Consider the following 24,583-nt stretch of genomic DNA (forward strand, 5'->3'; position numbering starts at 1 on the left):
TGAAGGTGTACCAGGTCCCCCACTCAGGAGATCGCAGACACAGTGCAGGTGCACCTGGGTCCCCCATGCAGGGTATTGCAGACACAGCATGGGTGCACCGGGTCCCCCACACAGGGGATCGCAGACATAGTGCAGGGGCACCTGCATGTTGTTCTTGCACCCTGAAATGGAATAGGAAGGCTGGCTTTTTTTTTTTTCTTTTTTAGCTCATCTTCTGTTTTGGACCAATTAAAATAAAGGCATTTTAAATAGGCCCTGTGGAAAGGGAACTGAAGTTGTTTCCCCAGGCTGAGCTCTGCACCAGAGGTCAGGGCAGGATTAATAAGGAAGCTATAAATACAAACAATGGCCCATGTCTCTGTGGGCAATGTGCTCTGGTTTGGGAGGAAGGGAGAAAATTAAATTATAATGGGAAAATATAAATTATTTGGATCAGGATAAAAAGGAAGAAATCAGTGGTGTCTGAATGAATCTCAGTGAATCTGTCAGAAGAGTTGTGAGGTTGGCTCAGTGTAGGTGCACAAAGATGCCTAGGAGGATGGTGGAACAGGGCCCCACACAGACGCAGGTGAAACTCCAGAGTCCTGCCTTTTACTGTTAGCCATGCCCCACCTGTGGAATTCAGTGCTATTCTGAGATGAGAGATGATTGTATTTGTCAGATTTTCTATCAAAGTAAATATAGATGGTCACCCACCCAGTGAATGTGATTTTAGCACCTTCCCTGTTGCAGACCCTCCCAGGTACTGGAGGTTTAGAGGGAAACAGAGCCAGCTCTATGTTGCCCTCAAGGAGCACCCAGACATATCATGTGGCCAAGATGATTGCATCCAAGCGATGCTAATTGATTGCAGCCTTGCATGGACCTGGCCAGGTGCTACAGCTCCTTGGTAGCACTTGCTCACTTTTATTTCATGGTACCTCCTCTCCCCGCTAGGGGGCAAATGTCATTATGATGCCCATTTTACAGATAAGGAAGCTGAGGTTCAAAGATATGAGGGGACTTCCTCACAGCCAATATGTGGCAGAGTCATGGTTCAAACCCAGGGGTTCGTACCTTCAAAGACCAAGTTCTCATCCACTGTGCAGACAAATGTTCTGACAGAGGACAGGCAGGGGACAGAGAGTGAGAGAAAGAGAGAGATTGTGTGTGTACATGTGTGCACATGTGTATGGCAGTGGCTCTGTGTCAACCTGGAAGGCTTCTTGGAGGTGGTGATGTCTAGTGGAATCCTAAAGGAAAGGTCTTAAATGCTACACTAAGGAATTTGGATTTTATCAACATTTTTTTTCTTTTTTGAGCAGAATTCAGACATGATTATATCCCCCCAACAAATCTATATTTAATAAGCAACTCCAAGGTGCCAGACAATCTTCTAGGTGCAGAGAGGGTTGCAGACACTTAATATAAGATGTAGTCTCTGCCCTTTCCTAGCTTCAGTCTAGCTGGAGAGATGAAACACAGATTTATTTAGAAGATAATAAGTAACAGTGTCAATAAACCAATGCCGAGCGCCAAATAAAAGTCAGTGAGTAGGTGAGTGGAGGTCAGAAGAGGGGGCAGTCTGGGCTCTGGGTTGGTCAAGGAAGGCTCCCAGGGTAGATGGAGAGAGAGAGGTTGGAGGGGTTATGGAAGATTCCAGAAAGGGTGCACTTTGAGGGCTGGGGCCTAGTGTTTGGCAGTACTAGTTCCCCCATGCTTAGCAGAGGGCCTGCCCATAGCAAGTGACGGTGCATGCTGGCTGAATGAATAAATGTTGGACCCAATGAAAAGAAAGGACAAACGGTTGAGAGATGAGGCATAACAAACGGACTGTGGGTTGCAGGGATGTGTGACCACTGAGCCTCTACCCAGCCCACCAATACAGTTTAGTTGACTTGTGGCCCCACCAGTCAGATGACCTTCCTTGGCTTTCCATTTTTTTTTAGGTCATGCAGGCACATCTGTGGGAGAAGCAAGTAGACTCTATAGGGGAAAAGCAGGAGAAAAGATGGGAGAAGCCTTGGGTGACAGAAGGAGGAAGCCTTGAATGTGAGTCCAACATGTTAGCTTTTTTCCTGCAGGCAGGAGGCAGCCATTGAGGCCTCTGGACATTCAAGTAGCAAGAGGTAAATGATTTGGGGAGATTGATCTGGCCCTCCAAGGGGGAAAGAGGAAAAATGCTATAGGAGAGGGTTTCAGGAAGTGACTCCTGCTATTTAAAACGTGCAAACCCTTTCATCCAGAAATGTGACTTCTGGAGATTTGCCCCAAGATCGTGGAACAAGTGTGAAGAAACAAAAACAAACAAAAACCAGCAAAATGCCTCCTGGAGGTCCTTGCAGTGCTGTCTTGGGTGGAGAAAACTAGAATGCAGCTTTCTCCAGGGGTGCAGTGCAGAGTGAGGGAGCTTGCTTTTTCTCTGCTGCCTCTCACCTCAGGGCCTCTGCACCAGATGTTCCCTCTGCCTGAAATGCTTTTCCCTGCCAGGTCACATGGCTCAATCCTTATCTTTGCTGAAATGCCCCCTTCTCAGCAAGACCTTCCCTGATCACCCTATTCAAATTTTCTTCTGTAGCCCCACCCCCTCATTTACACCACACACCTGCCGCCCCAGGCACCCAGCCTCGTGACTATCTGACATACCCTTCATTTTATTTGTGTATCTCCTGTCCCTCTGGAATGGAAACTGCAGTGGCGATTGTTGTCTGTTTTGCACACAGGCAGTATCCTCAGTGCTAAAGCAGCGCTGGGCGTAGTAAGTGCTCAGTGAAGATCTGTTGAATGAGTGAATGAAGGAAGGGAGGAAGGAATGATGGTGGGTAAATCGGCGAGTGTGTGGCCTACACAGGACATTAGCTTGAGCACCAGAGAGCAGACCAAGGCAGGTCCTTGGTTCCTGTGCCGACCTGCATTGCGGAGGACTGCGGGGTCTTGGTAGATGAAGCCTGGCCTGGGTCTTTCAGGGCCCTCTGGCTGGGGCCAGGAGGCACAGCTGCAGTGGACACTTTCAAACTCATCGTGCCTGGCCTTGGCACTCGGTGGGCTCATTTCTGGTCATAATGACACCTTTCTAAACATAGCTACACAAAATTAAAATGTCACAGTGCAAATGCTGCAGCTGTGTGGTACTAGAAAGAACACTAGGTCTTGAGTCAGAAGAGATGGACTCAAATCCCAAATATCAAGCCATCTCTCTCCTGGGTGTGACCTTGCACTTCTCTGAGCTTCAGTTTCTTCATCTGCAAGATGGGAATGGTACCAGTAGCTGTGTCACAGACTGTTGTGAAGGCCGAGGAATTAAGCACGGCGAGAGATTTTTGGAAGCTGCAAAGCATCACACATTGGACATGACTTTTACACATAAATATGTAAAAATGGTCTCCTGACTGCGTCCTTGGCTTCCTGGCCTGCCACATGGAATGAGGGCAGGGCCTCCCTCTCAGCACAGACTGGTCTCCTCCACCAGCCCAGCCTCCCCTTGTCACAGTGAGAAGGAGCCATTGACCCACTCAGAAGCCACTCACTTCTCTCTTACATGGGGAAATCAGCAAACCACAACCATTTATGAATCCTGCATGTTCCCCTGGTCTTGTCCAACTGTATCTGCTACCATTCCTGAGTGGAAGTTAAAAAAAAAAAAAAAAAAAGGCAGAGCAAGTTGAAGATGGGAAAGAGGTGACCTAAGGTGACAAAGAGTCAATGTAGAAGGCAGATATGTCTCATCCTCGCAGTGACTAAGATTAATGGGCATGGAGTGTCAGGAGCCCTGCCTTAGGAAGAACTCTGAGACTGGCTCCAGAATTCTGTAAATCCAATCAAGAGTGTTGCAATCAGTTAGCAATGTCTGCCTCAGGCAAGGGAGAAGAAACTATGGTCTGTATGTCATATCTAATATTCTCCCTTATATCTAAGGTACCCTCTGCTGTGAGACATGCAATCAACCCGATGAAGCTTTTTAGGAAAAAGTCTATTGTTACATCAAGTTTAACGTAAAGCTGCCTCCTTACATATTTTAAGGTCAGCCTAAAGGTTTCTCTGCACATCGTGAACTATAGCAAGTAGAGATGTAAACAGACTGTAGCCTACACTTGTGCCGATCAATGAGTTTTGGCCAATCAAATGTGGCCAACTGTTTGAACCATGTTCAAACAGGGCAAATGCTGAGCTATAACCAACCCAGCTGTTTCTGTCCCTCACTTCTGTTCTCTGTGCATCACTTTCCTTTTTCTGTCCATAAATCTTTTTCCACCACGTGGCTGCGCTGGAGTCTCTGAGTCTACTCTGGCTCAGGAGGCTGCCCAATTCAAAATCATTCATTGCTCAATTAAACTCTTTCAAATTTAATTCTGCTGAAGTTTTTCTTTTATCACTCTATTAATGCTAGATGTTGACTATTGAATGGATCCAAGTTTCAGGAACTTACAAAATGTGTGTGTGTTTGAAAGAAGGAAATCATTACTTGCTATCCCTTCTCTATCAAAATCTACTTGAGCTTTTCAACTAAAAATTCAATGCGTATTCTTTGGGGTATAAATAAATGTGCTGAATCTACCTGGGCTTTTCCCACTCTGTGGCTTCTTGTTTCTATGTGTGATGCGAAAAGGAAGCTGTGGAAATGGGGAGGAGATTCTTCCAGGTGTTGGGAAGGCTTCCAATGCCCAGCATGTAGTAGGTGCTCAGCAAATGTTTGTTGAATGAATTTTCAATGATGACCTCAGTTTCTGCATAACTTTTCATGATTCATAAATGCTGTTACCTTAGCTAAGTTTAAATGTAGTATTTTATCTCCTGTCATATATATTTTTCTCTCTTTTTCTGTGAGTAGACGCCATGATAATCAATCGGGATAACCCACGAGGACGTTGTTTCATTCTTTCTGAGTGAGGGGATGGGGCTGATAGAGGAAGCCGGGGAGGGGTTTGCCTGCTGATTTCTTCCTGCTTTTGTGTTTGTGTTTGCCGTCTGCCTGTCCCTCACATTTCCCTCAGTGTGTTCCTATCCTTGGATCCCTAATCCTACAGCCCAGGACTTTCTACAACGGTACTACTGACATTTTGGATGGGATAATTCTTTGCTGTGGGGGGACTCTCCTGTGTGCTGTGACATTTAGCAATATCCCTGGCCTCTACCTACTGGATACCAGAGGCACCCCCCACCCCCAGCCGTGACAACTAAAAATGTCTCAAGACACACCACCCAGGTGAGAACCACTGCTTAGCCTCCCCGGGGAACATGGCTGGTTCCTTCTTTCTGAACAGTTTCAGAAGGAACATCAAGTCTGCAACAAGTCTTCTGACTTCATGGTCCACACCAGTGTCAGGCCCACCGTCCTATCAACCCTCCAGGCTCATGTCTCCAAGGAGCTCTCTGATCATTCCCTGGTGTCTCTCTCGTTTGCTGTCTGCCCCTCTCCCCTGGGCTATGAGCGCCACAGGAGTTTTTTCTATTTTGATTATCTCTCTATCCCTGGGGCCCAGAAGTCCCTGGCACTCAATAGGTTCTCCAGTGGATAAAGGTGAGGACGAGGTGACTGGGGGAGCCTCCCTGTGGAGTGACGTCTCCATGCCATGAAATTGCCAGCCCTGGGAAGTCATGAGGAAGAACACTCCAGGCAGAGGGCACAGTCACCGCACAGCTCTCAGGCAGGAACAGGTTTGCCTTGTGGAAGGCTGCTGGGGAGGAGAGGGGAGCGGGATTGGAGAAGGGTGCTCCAAGAGCCAGAAAAGCTAGTCAGGAGGCCACAGTGAGGGGTGCAAACTCAGTTCCAGGAGTGACAACAAGCCCTCTGGAAACCTCCCAGATGTCCCAAGGTCCACCCCTGGCCCACTCTCACTCTCCTCTCTCCTTGTCGCCCAGCCTCACTCTGGGAAGGCTGGGGAGGATTCCTAAATCTGGTCTGAACTCCTGAGGCTGAAGCCAGAGCTGGTGTGGCCCCCAAGTCATATCTCAGGGTGGGAGAGAGTCCTTCCATCAAGGAGGCAACGCTATGAGGGCAGCTCAGTGCTCAGCCCACCCCTCTAACCCTCATGGGCGGGCCCTCAATCAGAAACCACAAATTCCAGGCTCAGTCAGGGAAGGCCTGGATCCTCCACTTCCGGCTCCTCCCGGAAGTCAGCTTAAAGAAATGATGCGGAGGAATGATCACTGAAGAGACTCGTCATTCCTGGTCAAACCATGCTGGAGGTCAGGGGTTTGTTAACTCAGCCTTGTCACAGGGGCCTTCCCTTCCACCTCAATGCTACGACAGAGCTGGTGTTGAAGGTCTTTGACGAAAAAGCTACATTTCTGCATTTAAAATGGAGAAGATCAGGCCACTCAGTATCTCCGGTGTAAGAAGACATTTGGCAATAGTAACAGCTAATTTTTTTTAATACTTACCGTAACTCATTTTACCCATTTCCTGCCTAGAAAAAAAAAAAGTGCAGCTCACTGCCAGCACTCATTTCTTGGGGCAAACAGGAAATAAGTTAATCTTAACAACAACCCTGTAAGGTGCATAGTTTTATTATCATCCCCATTTTACAGATGGGGAAACTGAGGCAGTGAAGTTTAGTAATTTTCCCAGATTCACTAAAATTTCTAAGATATGTTTAACAAAGAAATCCACCCTTTAACTCTTAAATAATATCCTCTTTTTAAAATTAATGCTAGAATATGGTGCAATATCTTTTTAATTGAGTGTATCTTTTGCCCCAGCAATTCTACCACTAGGAACTGAGCCTAAGGAGGTATAAATATTTAGTTAGAAGGATGCAGTATTATTTAGTATGTGGAACTCAATGAGAATCTCCACTAAGAGGGGTTATTTAAATAAACTGTGATGCCTCCATATAAATGTAGCTGTTCAAAATGACATCTGTTTGTATGTACCAACATAAAAAGACATCTAAATCATATATTTTAACAGAAAAGTCCAGAATAATCACATTTTTGTAAGCAGTCATTTTGTCTGAGGACTGGGATTTCTATTGACTTTTAATTTCTTATTTTCACGTGTCTATAGTCTCTAATTTTTCTACAATGAACATGTACTACATTTATAATAAGAAAGAAACTCAATAAAAGTTATTGAGTAAAAGAATAAGCAGCCAGAAATCTGTCTCTTCTGGGGAATTAGTGAGCCTCTTCCTCCCTGAGAGTAGACGCTATGGCTGCTTTGCTGGAACCTTCCATTTGTCCCAAATGCTCCACTCTCTGCCAATGGGAGACGGGGTCTATATTCACCTGGTCCCTTCTGCGTGAGGCCACCTTGGCAGAAGTCACTGCCCCTCCCAAGGCATCTGACCCTGCAAAACCCTCTTGTCGTCTGGGTTCTGGTAAACTCCCCATTCCCTGTTTTTTTTGTGGGTATACAGATAGTAAAAGCTCTGCTGCCCTGGCCCTGGTTTTAAATGCCCCCTGGTGTTTTCTCTATACGCCACTGACACCTTGATCATGAGTCAAATCACCTGAACATAGAGTAGCATCTGCTTCCTGTTGAGAATCCAACGAATACATTTACCTGATTTGCTCTCTCTTCTTTTCCTAAGTCCTAACTTCCTAAAATAAAATGACTCTCCAATTCACCTGTCCACCTTGGCCTTCTCTCCTTATACCCAGTCTTGCCCACTAGACGTCTTCGTTTGGGCAACCACACAGCTTATAAGCCTCCTGATGCCCACCACAGGAGTCTTATTTTGTGCTGCCACGTTAAATTCTCTCTTCCATGAGCACCACTCTTTCACTTTCCACCCACTCCAAACCTGAAAATCACCTTTCTCCACCCCTCCTTTAATTTTTTACATCTCATCAGTGCCCAAAACTTCTGAAATCAACCTCAGTAATGTTTCCTTCAAATAACCCCTTCCCGGCTGGGCGCAGTGGCTCATGCCTGTAATCCCAGCATTTGGGGAGGCCAAGGTGGGTGGATCACTTGAGGTCAGGAGTTCAAGACCAGCCTGACCAACATGGAGAAACCCCATCTCTACTAAAAATACAAAATTTAGCTGGGCAGGGTGGCATGCACCTGTAATCCCAGCTACTGGGGAGGCTGAGGCAGGAAAATTGCTTGAACCCAGGAGGTGGAGGTTGCAGAGCTGAGACTGCACCACTGCGCTCCAGCCTGGGCTACAAAGTGAGACTCTGTCTCAAAAAAACAAAACAAATACCCTCTTCCCATCATTTCTCCAGCCCTTGCCTCCTCAAGTCCTCCTGACTGGGTTCCCTTGGCTCCCTGCTTCCCCCTCAGTCTGTTATGTGTGACTTCTGGGTAAAGGTTCTTAAAATACAATTCAGATCCTATCCAGTCCCCTACTCAAAACTGTGCCCATGGGATCAAAACCAAACTCTGCAACATTCCATTCAGAGCTTTAAGAGTACTTTTCAGCCTGAGGTCTCCTCCTCACCACTAACACCCTTCCCTCCAATCAAACTGATCCATTGTACCTACAAAAAGCCCGTCCCACCTCCTAGCCTTTGTTCACACTGGGTTCTCTGCTGGATCACCATCCCTCCACATTTCCAGGTGTCCCTCAAGACTACTCAGCAGCAGCTATCCATACAAGTTCCTCAACCCTGGCTTTCTTGCCCTCAAGTAACCAGTTCATCCTCCCCAGTCATATAGCCCTCTATTTACATTTCTTTTCTGGAAGCTATCATTTTTCACGTGCCATTTGAGTGAGTGTCCTCGCTAAGACGATATTTTCTTTGAGGGCAGTAACCTTTCTTATATGTCTCTGTATCCCATGAACTTAGCAAAAAACAAGGGACAGAACAGGTGCAAAGTCTACGTGGTTAGTGAATTTAACAGATCTTCCTAACGTGTAAACGTCGTTGTCCAGGTGAATGGAAGAAGTGAGCTGAGATAGAGGGGACAGACAGAGTCAGTGTCCAGTGCTGACCTCTGAAATGGAAAAACATGGCCAGTCCTTAGGAGGCTGCAGAGGCCAAGACCCCAGTGAGGTTTGGGGGTTCCACAGCAGAGGAGGAGCTGTGGACCACAGCAGGACCCCGATGCCATCAGCAGGGGAGGAAGTAATCAGAGAGGTGGAGGAAGGAAGCCAAGGGAAGTCAAGTAAACACCAAATATTCCCTCCCGGTCCAATGCTGTGACCTGCATAAGCCACCACTCCCCCAGTCTAGACTCTACCCATGGAAGAAGGAAGAAGATAGAACTCTGGATTTGAATATAATTCTAAAATAACCAAATTTATCTGAAAATGACTAGGCTGAGTTTTCTGCTTCAACCAGAAATGGAGCTTGGAGTCAGAAATTATGTGAAATTATAGAAGAGAAAGTCACCATCTTCCATCTCTGAGTCGTATGATCATTTTAGACATAAAATTGTGCACTTACGATGTACCAAGTGCTTAATATACGTGATCTCATTTCACCAGGGAAACTGTATAATTCATTGCTTTAACTGACAAAATTCTGCAACTGAAGAAGGTGCTGTTAATAATTGCATTGGGACGCAGGCCTGAGCAGGCCATGATTTGTGGCTGTCCTACATCTGACCCTCACAGTATCCATGGGAGAAGGCAGCATGTTTATGCCCCCTGACAGCTGGGGAAACCAACACTTAAAGTGATTAAGTCACAAGTCCAAAATAAATGACAGAGCTGCAGTTCAAGCCCAGGTGGTCATTTACCAAAGGCCATGCTCTTTTCACTTTGCATGGGACTGTGACCGCTGGCTCTACCCAGCTTCCCAGTGCGACCCTTCCCCGCCCACTGTTTCTCTTCTCTGGCCAACGGAAACACAATGAGACCACATATGTAACATTACATTTTTTCATAGCCACATTGAAAAGAAAAAGGAACCAGGTAAAATCCATTTTAATATGATATTTTATTTAACCCAATACAGTTGAGGCTTGAACAACACAGGTTTGAACTGTGTGGGTCCGCTTACACATGGCTTTTGTTCAGTCTCTGCCACCCCTGAGACAGCAGGGCCAGCCCCTCCTCTTCCGCCTCCTCCTCAGCCCACTCTACATGAAAACAAAGAGGATGATGATCTTTTTGATGATCCACTTTCACTTAATAAATAGCAAATATATGTTCTCTTCTTTATGATTTCTCGTAATAACATTTTCTTTTCTCTAGCCTCATTTACTGTAAGAATACAGCATATTCCCAGCTACTCAGGAAGCTGAGGCAGGAGAATCACTTGAACCTGGGAGGCCGAGTTTGCAGTGAGCCAAAATCGCACCATTGCACTCCAGCCTGGGCAACAAGAGCGAAACTCCAACTCAAAAAAAAAAAAAATAAAAAGAATACAGCGTATAATGCATGTAACATATAAAATATGTGTTAATCAACTGTCTATGTTATGGGTAAGTCTTCCAGTCAACAGCAGGCTATTAGGAGTTAAGTTTCTGGGGAATCAAAGGTTATACACAGGATTTTGACGGCATGGTGGTTGGCACTCCTAACTCCCACATCGTTCAGGGTCAACTGTATATTCAAAATAGTATTCAAAATGTAATCAATAGGAAATAGTCATTCATGAAATACTGCGTCTTCTTCTTCTCCCCCCCAACCCCACTTCTTTGTATTCAGTCTTCGAAGTCAGTGGGTATTTTAACCTTACAGCATATCTCAATTCAGATTACTCACACTCTAAGGACTCAATAGCCACGTATGGCTGGGGTCTGCCAGCCGGACAGCGAGGTCTAGCCCTGATCTGAGCAGGAGCCATTTGATTGGGTTGTTGGTACACTGCCATCTGGTGGACAGATGTTCCTTGCTTGAAAAACCACCTCGAAGGAAAGTATCAGCATCAGGGACAATAGCACAGTGGGCCTCAGGATCAGCTCCCCGGAAAGAGCTTGGGGTTGGAGGGGGTGTTGTTGCTGAGGATGTCCCCAGAGAAGATGTACAGCCATGGAGCAAACTCAAGTCACTTATGATGTCGGCAAACCTTGGCCGTGGTGCACTCTTGTTTCCTGGTTGCAAAAGGATTTAGCAGAAAATGGTAACTCTTTTTCAGAAGGCATATTTAAAGCAGCTCTTTAAAAAGCAGGAGTTTCTTTCACACCCAGTTTCGCCATGTGGTTGTGTGAAGGGCTTCTCCCCAGAAATCATGTGGTCTCTCTTTTAATTCACAGTAAAAACCTTTCTTCTGTCTTGGCCCATTATGGCTGCTATAACAAAATATCATAAGCTGGCCTTATATACCATAGAAATGTATTTCTCACATTTCTGAAGGCTGGGAAATCCATGATTAAGAGTTGGTGTCTGGTGGGAGCCTGCTTTCTGGTTCACTGATGGCGTCTTCTTGCTGTGTCTTCACCGAGGGGTAGGGACAAGGCAGCTCTCTGCAGCCTCTTTTCTAAGGGCACTAGACCTATTTGCCATGGTTCCAGCCTCATGAACTAATCATTTCCCAAAGTCCCCACCTCCCAACACCATCATCTTCATGATTAGATTTCAATATATGAATTTGGGAGAGGATAGAAACATTGAGACCATAGCATCTGCCAAGTTGTGTCTTCCTCACTCAAATTGGGTAGGTGTGGTTATTCCAGAGTTTCAGTGAACCAAGACGTATTTTTCCAATGTGAATAATTAATTAAGAACACTTGATTAGGGTCAATGTTATTCTGGACTTCTGAATCACTCCCACATTTGAAGGGGAGTTTTAAACACAACTTTGTGTGAATAAAATGATGTGTCTGCATCTCTCCAGGAAGCAGTGTTTGGAGCTGAGATGACTTGGCAGGGAGAAGAATCCACTGGGACATTCAATAACTTGGCATTGAGAGTGTTTTCAGCACCATGCTGTCCTCAGAATAGTGTTAGAATTTATATAAACACAGATGTGACTTGTGCCTTGAAGGAGAATACAGTCTTCCCAGGAGAGACATGCAAAACCATCATAGACAAACAGCAAGAAAACAGCATCAAGGATGTACATGCACCGGGCAGAATGTAAACTGGATGTAAAACCAAGCATTTGAGGGCAATGAGAAAGGAACTTGGTTCTGGTCTCAACTCTGCCACCCACAGCTGCGTGACTATGTCTCTGTCACACTGCTTCTCAGGTCTTCAACTTTATCGTCTCATACTGAGCAAGAGACAGTCTGGACAATTTATGCTTCTAGAATGGGGAGACAAGAAGAAAAGAAAGATAGATACCCAAGGACTTCAGTGACTGGCTCAGGAAGAATTACTCAGCAGTGAGGGGGCCAGCATGAGCCCAGGGGCAAGAAGCCGGGACTTGGAACAGGAAGGAAAGGTGCTCAGCTGGCTAACCTAGAGGAAAGTGATTGGCTGGAGTGTCTGGTTTATCTGTTTCAGGGATGGTTAAAGATTGCCCCGTTAATAGGCAAAAATTGTTGCCTTAAAGAACCTAGAATCTAAAGGGGTCTTTGACATAATACAGAATAACAGGTCCCAGAGATTATTTTACAGAATGTTAGTACCTCATGATATTAATAGATATATAACAAAACAGACTTCTTTGCCACAAGACTTCTCAGTACCTTTAACATTTTATGATTTTCCCAAAGGACAAAGAGTATGCAGCATTTCCCAGACTTAAATTTAACTGTGAACACCTGTTATCCTGGGGCAGGCGGATTGCTTGAGTCCAGGACTTAGAGTCTAGCCTGGGCAACATGACGAAACCCTACCTCTACCAAAAATCCAAAACTCAGCTGAGCATGGTGGCATGTGCCTGTAGTCCCAGCTGCTCAGGAGGTTGAGGTGGGAGGACTGCTTGAGCCCAGGAGGTGGAAGCTGCAGTGAGCTATGTTCACACCACTCCACTCCAGCCTGGACGACAGAGCACAACCCTGTCTCAAACAAACGAACTTCAGTGACTGGCTCTTAAAAACAAACAAAAACCTCACAGAACCCTCACTGCTCTAGTCCTGACTTTTTATAGATAGGGAAACTGAAAAGCTAAGAGGCAAGTCCAAATTTCACAAAGATAGTGGCAGAGCCAAGATTGGATTTTTGGTCTTTTGACTCTAATACCCAGTGAATTTCTTTTTCTTTCTTGTTTTTTTTTTTTCAATTCCTATTATACACTATTTAAGACACACAAACAGATAAAAAGACTAATACAAGATATCCATGCACCACCACCTAGTGTAAGAAATAAAACATCACCAACACAATAAAACCCCCTTGTGTACCTCTCTCCATTTGTCTCCCCAAGGGAACCCATATCCTGAATTTGGAGATATAATACATGAAAATTCTGGTGGAATTTCAAATAAGTCATATTGTCTTTAGAGGATCTTCTTAGCATCTCCCATGATGTCTAAGTTGTTTCAAAACAAAACCAAAAACCCCACTTGGCCCAGAAGAGCAAAGATTAAAAGCCAGCCTCGAGGATCCCCAGCTTGGCTACCTGCAGCTCACAGCATATTGGAAAAATTTTATGAATCGGTGAACTTTTTCATTCTCAAATGGGCTCTTCAGATGGTTTATTAATTCTGTTAGATGCGGGGGTGCGTCTGGCTTTATTCTGTGTGGAATTTTTGGATGAATTCACTGCCTCACCCCCTCCCCTCCACAGGCCAGATGGGGAGCCGGGTGCTGTATAAATGTTTAATTGTGGCTCAGTAAAAATATTTGCTTTCAGTAGCTGGAAGCTACCAAACGGAGGTAGCGCTGTCTACTAGAGTTGCCAGACTTCATTCTAATGAGAACAGAAATAAAGGCTGATTAAATCAAATTCCCCATAGTGTAGAACCACTTAAATAAATGTTTCATATTGTTTGCATGATGATTTTAAAATGTAACAGCTGCTTATGTAACCATTAGGCTGGACATAAATCATTCATCGCCATCACTGCCGTCAAAGCAGCACTGGCTCTTTTTCTTCTGCTGCTGACATTTCCATTACTAGGGAGCTTCTCAGACATGCTCTTGGGTTCCCTGTCCTTACCCAAGTGCGGGGTAGCAGGAGACTGAGGGAGGGATGAGGAATGAAGAGCAGGCACGAAGCTGCCATTTATCGAAGGCCTACTTTGCACATGTCCCATTGGGCTGGCATTGTCACATTTCATCCTTCCCACAAGGAGGCATTACTGTTCCCATTTTATAGATAGGGATGCTGAGGCCTATGGAAATGAAGTGAGCTGCCCCCAGAGTAGGGAATACAGCCTGTATGTGAACTCAGGTGTGTCTGAGCCTTGGCAACTCACACAAGGCTGCCCGAGAACAAAGGGTGCATCCCACCCCGAGGCTCCACACACCTCAGGCCTTTTAGCAATGATGAGAGCAGTGAAGACCAGACCAAGACTCAGAAAACTGCAGAATCCTTTCGGCTGGGGCTAGGGGTGGGGCAGGGTAGATACTGATCCAAAGGATTTGGACTCCTTTTCCTAGTCCAAATCCCCATCGTCTCTCCCCTGTTCACTGTGTCAGCCTCCTGACTCCCCTGCCTCCATTCTTGCCCATCTCAATCCATCATTCACCCAGTAGCCTGAGCGATCTTTTAAAAGTAGAAGTCAGATTATGTCATTCTCCTGCTCAAAAGCCTCCAATGGCATCCCACCACTCTTAGAATAAAGCCCAACCTCCCACCATGGCCCTCAAGGCCTTTTATGATATGGCCCCTGCCAACATTTGCTCATTCGTTCCTACCCCACTCCTTTATCTGGGCGTCTTGGCTTCTTTCTGGTCTTCAGACACAATAAGCTCATGCCTACCTAAGGGCCTTTGCACATGCTGGAACCATCCTCCTCAGACCCTTCCCATGACTAGCTTCAACCTGTCATTCAGACCTCAGCTCCAAGTCACTTCCTCAGAAAGGCCCTCCCTGTACCCTGGATTGAAAACAGCCCTCCCCTGCACACGCTCCACACCATAGCTCTGTTTCATTTACTTTACAGCACTGAACACTGTCTCTATTTCTTATTTGCTATTTTCCTATCCCACTATAATGTAAGCTCCATGACAGATATCTGGGCGGTTCTCCACTGCTTCCCCAGCCCTAGAATGCTGACTGTAATGTAGTAAGTGTTCAATAACTATTACTTAAATAAATGAATTAACTTGTCTCATTCTTTTCCCCTGCATCCAAGTTGGGTGAACCCTGACCTGGCCCCTTGAAAGAGACAATTTGATTCTGAAAACCAATTCTTACCTCCAGGCTCAGGCCCCATGCAGGAGTCTTTCTCCAGGTGGCCTGGCCATGCAGGTGATGGCAGTCATGGGGGGAGGCAGAGAGCTGCTGGAGAAAAGCTAGGAGGCCCTTTGGGGTTCCCTGTATTCATAGGAAGGAGGATCCCTTGGATCCATGCCCCCAACTCTGCAAAGCTGAGTCTAAAGGATACACAGAACACAAGACATCCTTCTGTTGCCACCAAAGCTTCTGACACCCCATTTTGGCTGGAGAGAGACTTGGGCACAGTTCTTGAATTGGCTGCAACTCCACCCTCCCTCCTGCAAGTGCCTCTTCCTCTGCCACGGAAGCCTCTGTGCCATGAAGAAGACCACCAGACCTCTCCAGGTGAGGGCTCTGGGTGTCAGTCCCCTACGCCCTAGCAAGATCTGGAAGGCAGGAGCCACCTTCCTGCAGGCAGGCAAGGTCCTGGAAATATAAGGTTGTCTGTGGCCATTGACCATCCTACTGCTTCCTGGTGACAGAAAATGTTGCATTGGTGGCAGCCATGGGGACAGCTTCCTGGTTCCTGAATTGCAGCACTGGTCCGTGGCATGCTCTAGGACTCAGGCATTTTCTCAGCAGCTTTTGAGGTAGTGGCCCCGGGCAGGTCAGTTTGGCAGTGTGCTGGGGATTATTCCTGGAGGCCCAGCCTGGTGGCCGCTTCTCCAGCCCTTCCAGTGATTTGGAAGCGGCTGGTTCCTTGCAGTAAGTCCCTTCTTCCTCGAACCACTGACTGATGCAGAGCTCCTCCATGGTAGGGACTGGTTCTCTTAGGCCCCTGTATCCTCAGGCCCAGCATGCTTGGGAAAATGTTTGCTAATGCTTTGTGACTCAAAAGGAATCACACACACACACACACACACACACAAACACACACACACAGTTTTTAATATTATCAGTCATATCAGCCCCCTGAGGCAGCTGCTCTGTTCCAGACAAACCCTGTTAATAACATTCTTATCCTCTTTGTTTCATTTTCCAGCTCAATTTGGAAGCCTGACCTTGTCTTGCTTTGCCTCCTACTGAGAGTTAATACTGGGACATACTGAAGGGCGAAGGCTTGAGTCACAAAGTCACAGGGATAAATCCTAGATCCAGCAGTTACTGTCTACATGACACTAAGCAGATTAGTTGCCACTGGGACTCAGTTTTACCAGTCTGCAAAATGGAGCTATCAGCCGCATCTAGCACTAGGGGCGCTGTGAGCATGGAGGGCAGTCTGCACACAGAGGCTTAACACAGTGCCTGAGCTTGCAGGTGCTTGGTAAATGGCAATTGCTGTCAGCATTGTCTGATTTACCTGAAGGAACAGTTCACACTCCACCCAGATTTTCACTGCAGCAGCCAAGAAAGAACTTCTGGGAAAGCATCTGCTTCCACCCAACTCCCAAGAGGGGTTCGTAGAGGGTGGAGCTGAGAGCCCGCCTCCCCTACCAGCCTGCAGAAAGAAAGCCATGTTTTGGCCTCAGGGAGGAGAAACCCAGATAAAAACCACCCCATGTGCAGCCTTTGCGTGGCCACAGGACCAGCTCCACAGGGAGAGGGAAGAGGCGCGGCCGCAGGACCAGCTCCACAGGGAGAGGGAAGAGGCCTCCTTTCAGGGGTGGGGAGCTGAGGGCAAGACAGACCTTTTCTGACTCAGCCCAAGGAGGGCTGGAGCAGGGGCTGCAGGTTCCCTGCTTTCTGCTACAACACAGGGTAGGGGAGAGTCATGGCCTCCCAGAGCCTCTGCAGGTTCACCTGCCAAATGGAAATAATAGCATCCTCCTCTGCAAGTCACAGCCTTAAAGAGGTGCTGAGAGTCACTAGTTAGACCCAAGCCAGCTGTTTCTGGTGCATTAGGACTATCGACCAGAACCCCTGCATTCCCAGCCCCTCCTGCGGCCTCCAACGACCAGGAGAGAAAGGCGTAAGGTGTAAGACTCTGGGCCAGGTTCTGGCAGCTTATGGCCACTCTTTTCTTGTGTCTGGACAGGAGCATTATAGCTACAACCATCTCATCTAATCCTCACTGCTGCCCTATGAGGCGGGCATTCTTATTTCCCCAGTTTTGAGATAGGCACAGAAAGGGGAAGCGACTTCCCAGGTTCACATTGCCAGTAAGTGGTAGGACTAGGCCCTGAAAAGCACAGCCTGCCATGGGGAAGAGAATTCATCCCCAGCTGAGAACCACTGTATCCTCACCCAGGGGTTCCCAGCCAATGCAAACAGGGACGTGACCAGTCTCCACTGGTCCCCTGTACCAGGTCTCCACCTTGCCGGCCTGCTGCTGGGCCCCAGGACTGCTCCCAGGCTGCACCTGTGGGGTCTGCCACCTCCTCCACTTCCTTTTGAGAAGCTGCTCCCACCCCTTCGCCTTCATCTCAAAGGAAAGTGTGCTGCCAGGCAGCTGGAGCCAGATGGCCCAGAGACAACTCTTCCCATCACACTTCCTGCAGCATCTGAGTCCAACCCCCAACTCCAGAGCTGGCAAGCTGCCCAGAGCCTCCCAGAGGAGGCCTATGGGTTAACTTCACATTTAGTATTTTCAGCATATGGTAGAAAGAAAATAGTGTTGTTAGATGTACAAGTGTGATTTCCCCTTTCCAGAATGCCTTCCTCTCTCCTCCACGTGGTGAGCTCCTATTCATACTTCAAAACCATGCTCAACTATTCCCTGCCCACCTGTTTCCTTCCACTCCTCCCCTTCTAATGTGGGTGTGTCCCAGGGACAACATCTGTGTTCCTCAGTGAAGTTGAGAGAAGCCTAAATTTGCTCTACATAAGAAAAAAGAATAAGGAGGTAAACTGGAAACGGGAGGAGGCTGGGAAACGCAGGGTTGGTGGAAGGACTTGTGGGGATGTCGTGGCAGCCACCTGAGGGTAAGGAACGTGACAGCCAGAGCAGCTATGCTTAAGGGGCTTTGCCACAGTGCGAAAGATAGGATACAAGGTCCTCTTCAGTCTCTCCATGAAAACCACAGTCAAAGTACACATTACTCACCCATGCTTTGGAGCTAGATTTGGGCTTAATGCTGTCTTTTTTTTTTTTTATTAAAACAATATTCCAGGCTGATGGAATTTAACAACAAGGAACATAATATCTGACACAAACATAGCCTAAGCCTTGATATTTATCATCTTATATAGCAAGAGATCAGGGTGTTGAGAACTTTAGAGCAGCTCCGTTATGTCCAGGCTCTGGGCGGTTTCTGGGATTCTGTCTGCTGTCCCATCAGTACTCACGGGGTGGCTGTGTCTGCTACAGACATCATAGCCTCACGAAACCACCTACACTAAAGCCAATAGGAAGAAAGGTGTGTGTCACCTTCACCTTCCCACCCTTTATGGGGGAGGAAAATATTTGCCAAGTGACCCACCTTTCCCTTCTCAATGCCCCTTTGATCAAAGCCTGGTTCTATGTCCCTGCCCAGCTGCGGGTGGTGCTAGGAAAGAAGGTATCTGGGGTTTGACAGTCTGCTGTGAGGGCTAAATAAAAAGGGCGTGAGAGGTCTGCCCTCTGCTTGTACTCCTCTGCTGAGGGAGAACTTGCTGCTTCTGGATACCACCCTTTCCCATCGTATGATAGCCTGAAGTGTTCAGAACTTTTCCCATTAAATCACTTGAACCCGGGAGGCAGAGGTTGCGGTGAGCCGAGATCGCGCCACTGCACTGCAGCCTGGGCAACAGACTGAGACTCTGTCTCAAAAAACAACAAACAAAATTGACTTTCTCCCACTGAGCCCAAGGTGCTTTCCTGGTAACTTCTCTTTGACCCAGTCCTGCCTCCTGCATCTTCCTTCAGCAACCCTGTTCTCCACATCAGCCACCAGAGGGAACATCTTAAAACACAGGGCTAGACTGGGCATGCCGTTGTCTCTGCTAAACCCCTCACTGAGTCCCCAGTGTCTACAGGATAAAATCCAAGCTTCACGGCATTGGAGGCTCACCACAGTCCTACTTCAGCCTAGTCTCTCTTCCTTATTCTTCCCCTACATATATATGTATATATATATATATTCTCATACTGTAGGTGAAGCAACTGAAATGCTTTTTATTCCCCTGACACTTTTTGTTTTTCAAATTCTTGTTGTACAAATTTATGGGGGACATCTGCAGTTTTGTCACATGCATAGATTTTGTAGTAGTGAAGTCAGGGCTTTTAGGGTATCCGTCCCCACAATGACGTATATTGTACCCATCAACTAATTTCTCATCATCCACTCCTCCCCCACACCCTCACCCTTCCAAGCCTCCATTGTCTATTATCCCACTCTCTACATCCATGTATACAGGTTATTTATCTCCCATTTATGGGTGGGAACATGTGATATTTGACTTTCTTCACCTGGCTTGTTTCACTTAAGATAATGAATTCCAGTTTCATTCCAGTTGCTGCAAAAGACGCCTCACAGAATTTTAAATGCTTATATATATACATACACCCCCTTTGTATTTGCCTACACAAAACTAACAAACCTTTGTGAAATGTAACCTACAGGAAATATGATCATGTCTAATGCTGGACATGAAGCAGATGCAATACACAAATCCATGAGGTAGACCCAGGTATTTCAGATCCTGACCTTGATCTCAGGTTTACTTATTAGACCACAGACCAAAGACTCCCACTGATGTCCCCACAGATTTCACCACTTATTCCTCTTGTCCCACACACTCTACTCCAAAGTCACCCTCCTCTAGAGGATAGTCACCTGAGATACTTCAGCGACCCTGCTCACCTTGGAAAATCAGGTGACAGGAATCATCAGTTAAGCCTGTGGACAGTAAGCATCTGTTGGTCTGGATGGTGTGGTGGGCGGAAGGTAGGACCCAATAGGGGCTTTTCATGGTTCCAGCCCCAAACCTCTGACCATGCCAGTGCATGCTGAAGGCCCCCATTCCATTTATGGTCGGGGCCACATGATTTACATTTACTGTCTCAGGTTCTTCTTGTAACACTGTCTTCTCCAATTTTTGATAAGCCAATGCCCCTGACACTTCTATGTTTTGTTCAAATTGTTCTACTTGCCCAGCATTCTCTTCCACCTTCTCCAGCTGTCAAACTCCTACACACCCTTCAAAGCCCAGCTCATGGGTCCTCTCCCTGACAATGATTCCAGCTGAAGGAGATGACATTGCTACTTCCTTGGCTCCTATCATACCCGGTATGGCTAGTGTAGCACTTAACATTGCTTGGTGCTTGGTGACATTCCCAAACGTTCATCTGTCCTCAAGGATGGGAACGTCCTCATTTCCCATCATTTAGGAAGTGCTTGCTAAACCAAAGACTCAGCCCCTCATCAGGAACCAGTGAAGGACAGAGCTGGGAAAGAGTTGTCATGGGCATGGGGACTATGTGAGGTCATACGCAGTTCCTGGGTCACAGAGGTGACCCACGAATGGTAGCTGCAGCGTTGATTGTTGCCCCTACTATTACTGTGTTATTACTGATCTCAGCCCTTCTCTTAAGTGACCCCTTCACTAGTCTCATAGATGAGCGGCCAGCCTGCCTCCTGGATCCCAGAATTTGCTCACTGTCCACGACTTCCTGTCATGGCTGGGAACATTCAGGCAGGATCTGGTCCCACTCGTAGGAGGGGAAGACAAAGAGTGCCATCCCTCCAGGCCCTCCCCTCCTGCAGGACAGATCATCCTGCCTCACTCCATCTGCAGATGCTGGCAAAGCACATTCCAGCCCTCGCCTCTGAGGCAGAGAAACAGATTCCAATTAAGGGACTTGCGGAAAGTGGCTTCATTTTACAAGCAATTGGGTTGTGAATTGAAGCGGGCATTAAAGTTTACAAGCTAGGCTGGCGGAGGAGCCAGAAGGCCTTGCTGCCACTGCCTGTCAGGAGACATCTTCTCCAGTTACTCAACAATTGTGTGGAGTGAGTGAGGAGTCGGCACGAATCCTGCCCTCCATGGCTGATGGTGGAAGAAATGTCCATTCATTCGTCTTCTTAAAACCAAGGATCAGGCTGCTGGAGGGCACAGGATCATCTCTCTCCTGATAGGCTTTCCCCTTCTCTAGCCTTATGTGAGAATCTGGGGGATTTTAGGTGGTGGTGAGAAAATGGGGAAAGAAATCACATTCGTTGACCTCTGCTTACAGCTGGGATCCCCACGCAGCTGAGAAATTTCCAGGAAATTACCTGGGTTCAATGGAGGAACTTAACACTTCAAGCTGTCACCTGGTGGGAAAGGGTGGTGGCAAGAAGTAACAAGATCTCCCAAATGGATCCAACCAGAGAGAAGGCCTCCTCATTTCCTTCTCAGCCAAGCCCACGGGGGCCCTGGAAGACAGAGGTTGCCGGGGCATCCAGGGTCTACACGGGCTGAGCTCCCCAGACCTGGTGCAAGGGGGCCAGGCATTCCCGCCAAGGCTCTGCCACCTACCCAGCAGGACCCATGAGCTCAGCACCTTTCTGGACTTGAGGAGATGGGTCTGGTTTTGGCCTTTTCCCTCCAGACTTCCTTCTGTCTCTGCCTCTCCACTGACACCTGCCTCTGCTGTCCCCCAGGACATTCCACTCTCTTCTCTAAGGCTCAGGCCTGAGGGGTTGCTGGTGGGCAGATTCCATCTCATGGTTGAGCTGTTTGGCCTCAATGGCATTTTATCTCTCTCTCTCTCTGTGTCTCTCTCTTTCTCTTTTTTTTTTTTTCACATTGAGCCATCTTCTTACAGCTGAGGTTTTCATATAAAAAAGCAAGTTGCTGGTTTCTCTTTAAAAGTAGGGCAATCTGGCAGTTCTGGGCTTGTGTAAAAACAATTCGGTAGAGCTAAAAACAGGGGCTTCTGATAAAGCCTGAGCTCCCAGCAGCCAAAGGACTTATCACCCCACAAAAAAATCCCTTCCTGCACTCATTTATATCAACCCCTGCCCCTGCAGACACGTATTGTAGGTTTTAACTAGAAACAAGAGGATTAGCTTTATTTAAACAGCAAAACTGCTTAAATGAGATAATATATGTATTGGGAATGGTGCCTGGCACCTAACCTAATCCTTAGTTAATTAATATTTATTGAGCAAATCATCTTGATTATTAAAAAGACAGGCCAGCTGGACACAATAAGAATGCTAGCTCAGAGCTGGCACTTGAGGGTTCGGTAGAATATTCATGGCTTGGAGGTGGGGGCTATGATACGAGCCCATATAATCAGAGAAGTTCAGATGGGAAATGAGAACCACTTGGTAGCCTAAATTCAGAGAAACTAAAGCCAGCCTAACGCTCTGAAGCTGGCAAGTGTTCATTTTTGGAAATCAGAAAGTGATGATGTGTTATCCCAAGAGACTCCTGGGACAAGATGCAGTGAGCAGCCATTCACAAAGACTACCTTGAACCGGGCTCTTTCCCTACATTTTGTTATTATATCCTCGCTACAACCTTCTGAGGTGGAAATTAATATCCCCATTTTACAGATGCATAAACTGTCTAGTGAGGGTGACAGATAGTATTGACATGACCAGAAGAATAAATATAAATGAGATAAATTCTCTCTGAAGGAAAGGAATAGGGATTTACAATGGTGTAAAACAAAGGAAGTGGGGCCTGGTCTAAGCGATCAGGGAATGTCTCTTTAAAGAAGTGACATTTAAGCTGAGGTCTAAAGGATTAGATGAGTGTTAAATAGGAGGAGACTGGGCAGGAGGGAAATCTTCTCCATGGCTCTCAATCCAGACACACAATTTGAACCACCTGAGGTTCACAAACACAAAGAAAGTATCGTGACCTGATACAGTCCCAGTCTAATTAAATCAGTAGAACCCAGGTGCCGATGTTTTTGTTTCTTTTTATTTTATTTATTACTATTTTTTGAGATGGAGTCTCGCTCTGTCACCCAGGCTGGAGTACAGTGGCACAATCTTGGCTCACTGCAACCCCTGCCTCCTGGGTTCGGGCGATTCTCCTGCCTCAGTCTCCTGAGTAGCTGGGATTACAGGCGCCCAACATCACACCTGGCTAATTATTCTATTTTTAGTAGAGATGGGATTTCACCATGTTGGTCAGGCTGGTCTCGGACCCCTGACCTCAGATGATCCGCCCGCCTCGGCACCCCAAAGTGCTGGGATTATAGGCATGAGCCACTGTACCTGGCTGGTACCAATGTTTTTAAAAGCTTTATGGTTGAACCACTGAAATGAAACAAAAAGTAAATCCAAAGCTCATATACTCTAGCCAAACAATAGCCATTAATAGCTATTAAGTAAATAGAGGAGATGCTCAGTGATAATGAGCAGGTAGATCATCAGCATCCTTGTCATCACCACTACATCTGCCTCCTCCAGATCATTTGGTAGCCAAGTCCAATGTCAAAGGAATAAAGGAAATCTGCCTCTGTTGAGGGCTTGCTGTATGTCACGCACTATGCTAAATTCTTCACTGTTTCATTTAACGTTTACCGAAACCCTTATTATTTTACAAATGAGGACGTTGAGGCTCAGAACAAGGCACCAATTTACCCAGGATTTCACAGCTCATCGGGGCAGTGGGGGACCCTCTTCCAGGCCCACCTGGCTGTAGAGACCACACTCTTTCCTGTCTCCATGCAGAGGGGCCTCCTGCTCACTTTAGCTCCCATTTCCCAGCCTGACTGCCTTGATTGGGCCGCATTTCTTTGTTCTGACCTCAAAAAGAGTTTTGTAGATTTGTGCCCACTTTTCTCATCACGCTTAAGAAAAGTGACCAAAGCTGAACCAAGCTATCTAGGTTCAAATGCTGCTTACTGGCTATCGGGCCCCAAACTATCTGTGGAACTTCTTTGAGCCTCAATTTTTTGTTTTCTATAACATGGGAATAATATCAGTACCTCCCTCATAAGTTTCTTATGAAGATTAAGTATGTATGTGTTAAGATTCATATTAAGTGAGAATTACGCATGTACGCATATACATACAAGATTAAGTATGTATGTAAGCATATATATATACACACACATTTAGAATAGAGCATGAAATATAGCCAGTGTTCAGTTAATGTCAAGTATTGTTAATATTATCCTATGGGCTGGAGTGAGAGGCCTCCTGGGGTGTTTGCTTTCCAGCCCCCAATCGGGTGGCATCCTGGATAGGGTATCATCATACCTCTCCCCAGGAGATCAGGATAGGGAATTGTAAGAGCACTCAGGTTGGAGGTAGGATGTGCACCAGGGAAGCTCAGGCAGGAAGCTGCTGTCTTTCCTGGTCTCTGCAGACTAGGAGCAGCAGCCAGGGACCTGGGTTGACTGGGGGACGGGTCGGTGGGTGGGGTGAGATGACTATCACACCTCCTCTAAAAACAAGATGGGGCCTGGTGCGCTGGCTCATGTCTGTAATCCCAGCACTTTGGGAGGCCGAGGCGGATGGATCAGTTGAGGTCAGGAGTTTGAGACCAGCCTGGTCAACATGGTGAAACCCCATCTCTACTTAAAATACAAAAATCAGCCGGGCGTGGTGGCACGAGCCTGTAATCCCAGCTACTCGGGAGGCTGAGGCAGGAGAATCACTTGAACCCAGGAAGGGGAGGTTGCAGTGAG

The 24,583-nt window shown here is 46.8% G+C and overlaps 1 protein-coding gene and 1 long non-coding RNA gene across 4 annotated transcripts in view, besides 2 other annotated features; both read left to right on the forward strand.

The window, feature by feature from the left end:
- The window catches only part of KCNIP1-OT1 (KCNIP1 overlapping transcript 1), a 33,352-nt gene extending 20,826 nt beyond the window's left edge, over nt 1-12,526 (forward strand). Inside the window, exons 2-3 of the long non-coding RNA NR_109899.1 lie at nt 10,068-10,297; nt 11,653-12,526. This is a non-coding gene — a long non-coding RNA (KCNIP1 overlapping transcript 1). The remainder of the gene's footprint in view (nt 1-10,067; nt 10,298-11,652) is intronic.
- Nucleotides 1-24,583, forward strand: part of KCNIP1 (potassium voltage-gated channel interacting protein 1) — a 383,146-nt gene that overhangs the window by 56,832 nt on the left and 301,731 nt on the right. The window lies entirely within an intron of this gene.
- Nucleotides 835-884: an enhancer, noted in NCBI's record as "active region_23611". NCBI's record gives its function as "activates an Ori minimal core promoter by ATAC-STARR-seq in GM12878 lymphoblastoid cells {active_cell/tissue: GM12878}" and the evidence as "EXISTENCE:reporter gene assay evidence [ECO:0000049][PMID:35858748]".
- Nucleotides 975-1,054: a silencer, noted in NCBI's record as "silent region_16606". NCBI's record gives its function as "represses an Ori minimal core promoter by ATAC-STARR-seq in GM12878 lymphoblastoid cells {active_cell/tissue: GM12878}" and the evidence as "EXISTENCE:reporter gene assay evidence [ECO:0000049][PMID:35858748]".

Source organism: Homo sapiens, chromosome 5 (genome assembly GCF_000001405.40).
Source record: "Homo sapiens chromosome 5, GRCh38.p14 Primary Assembly".
NCBI lineage: Eukaryota > Metazoa > Chordata > Mammalia > Primates > Hominidae > Homo > Homo sapiens.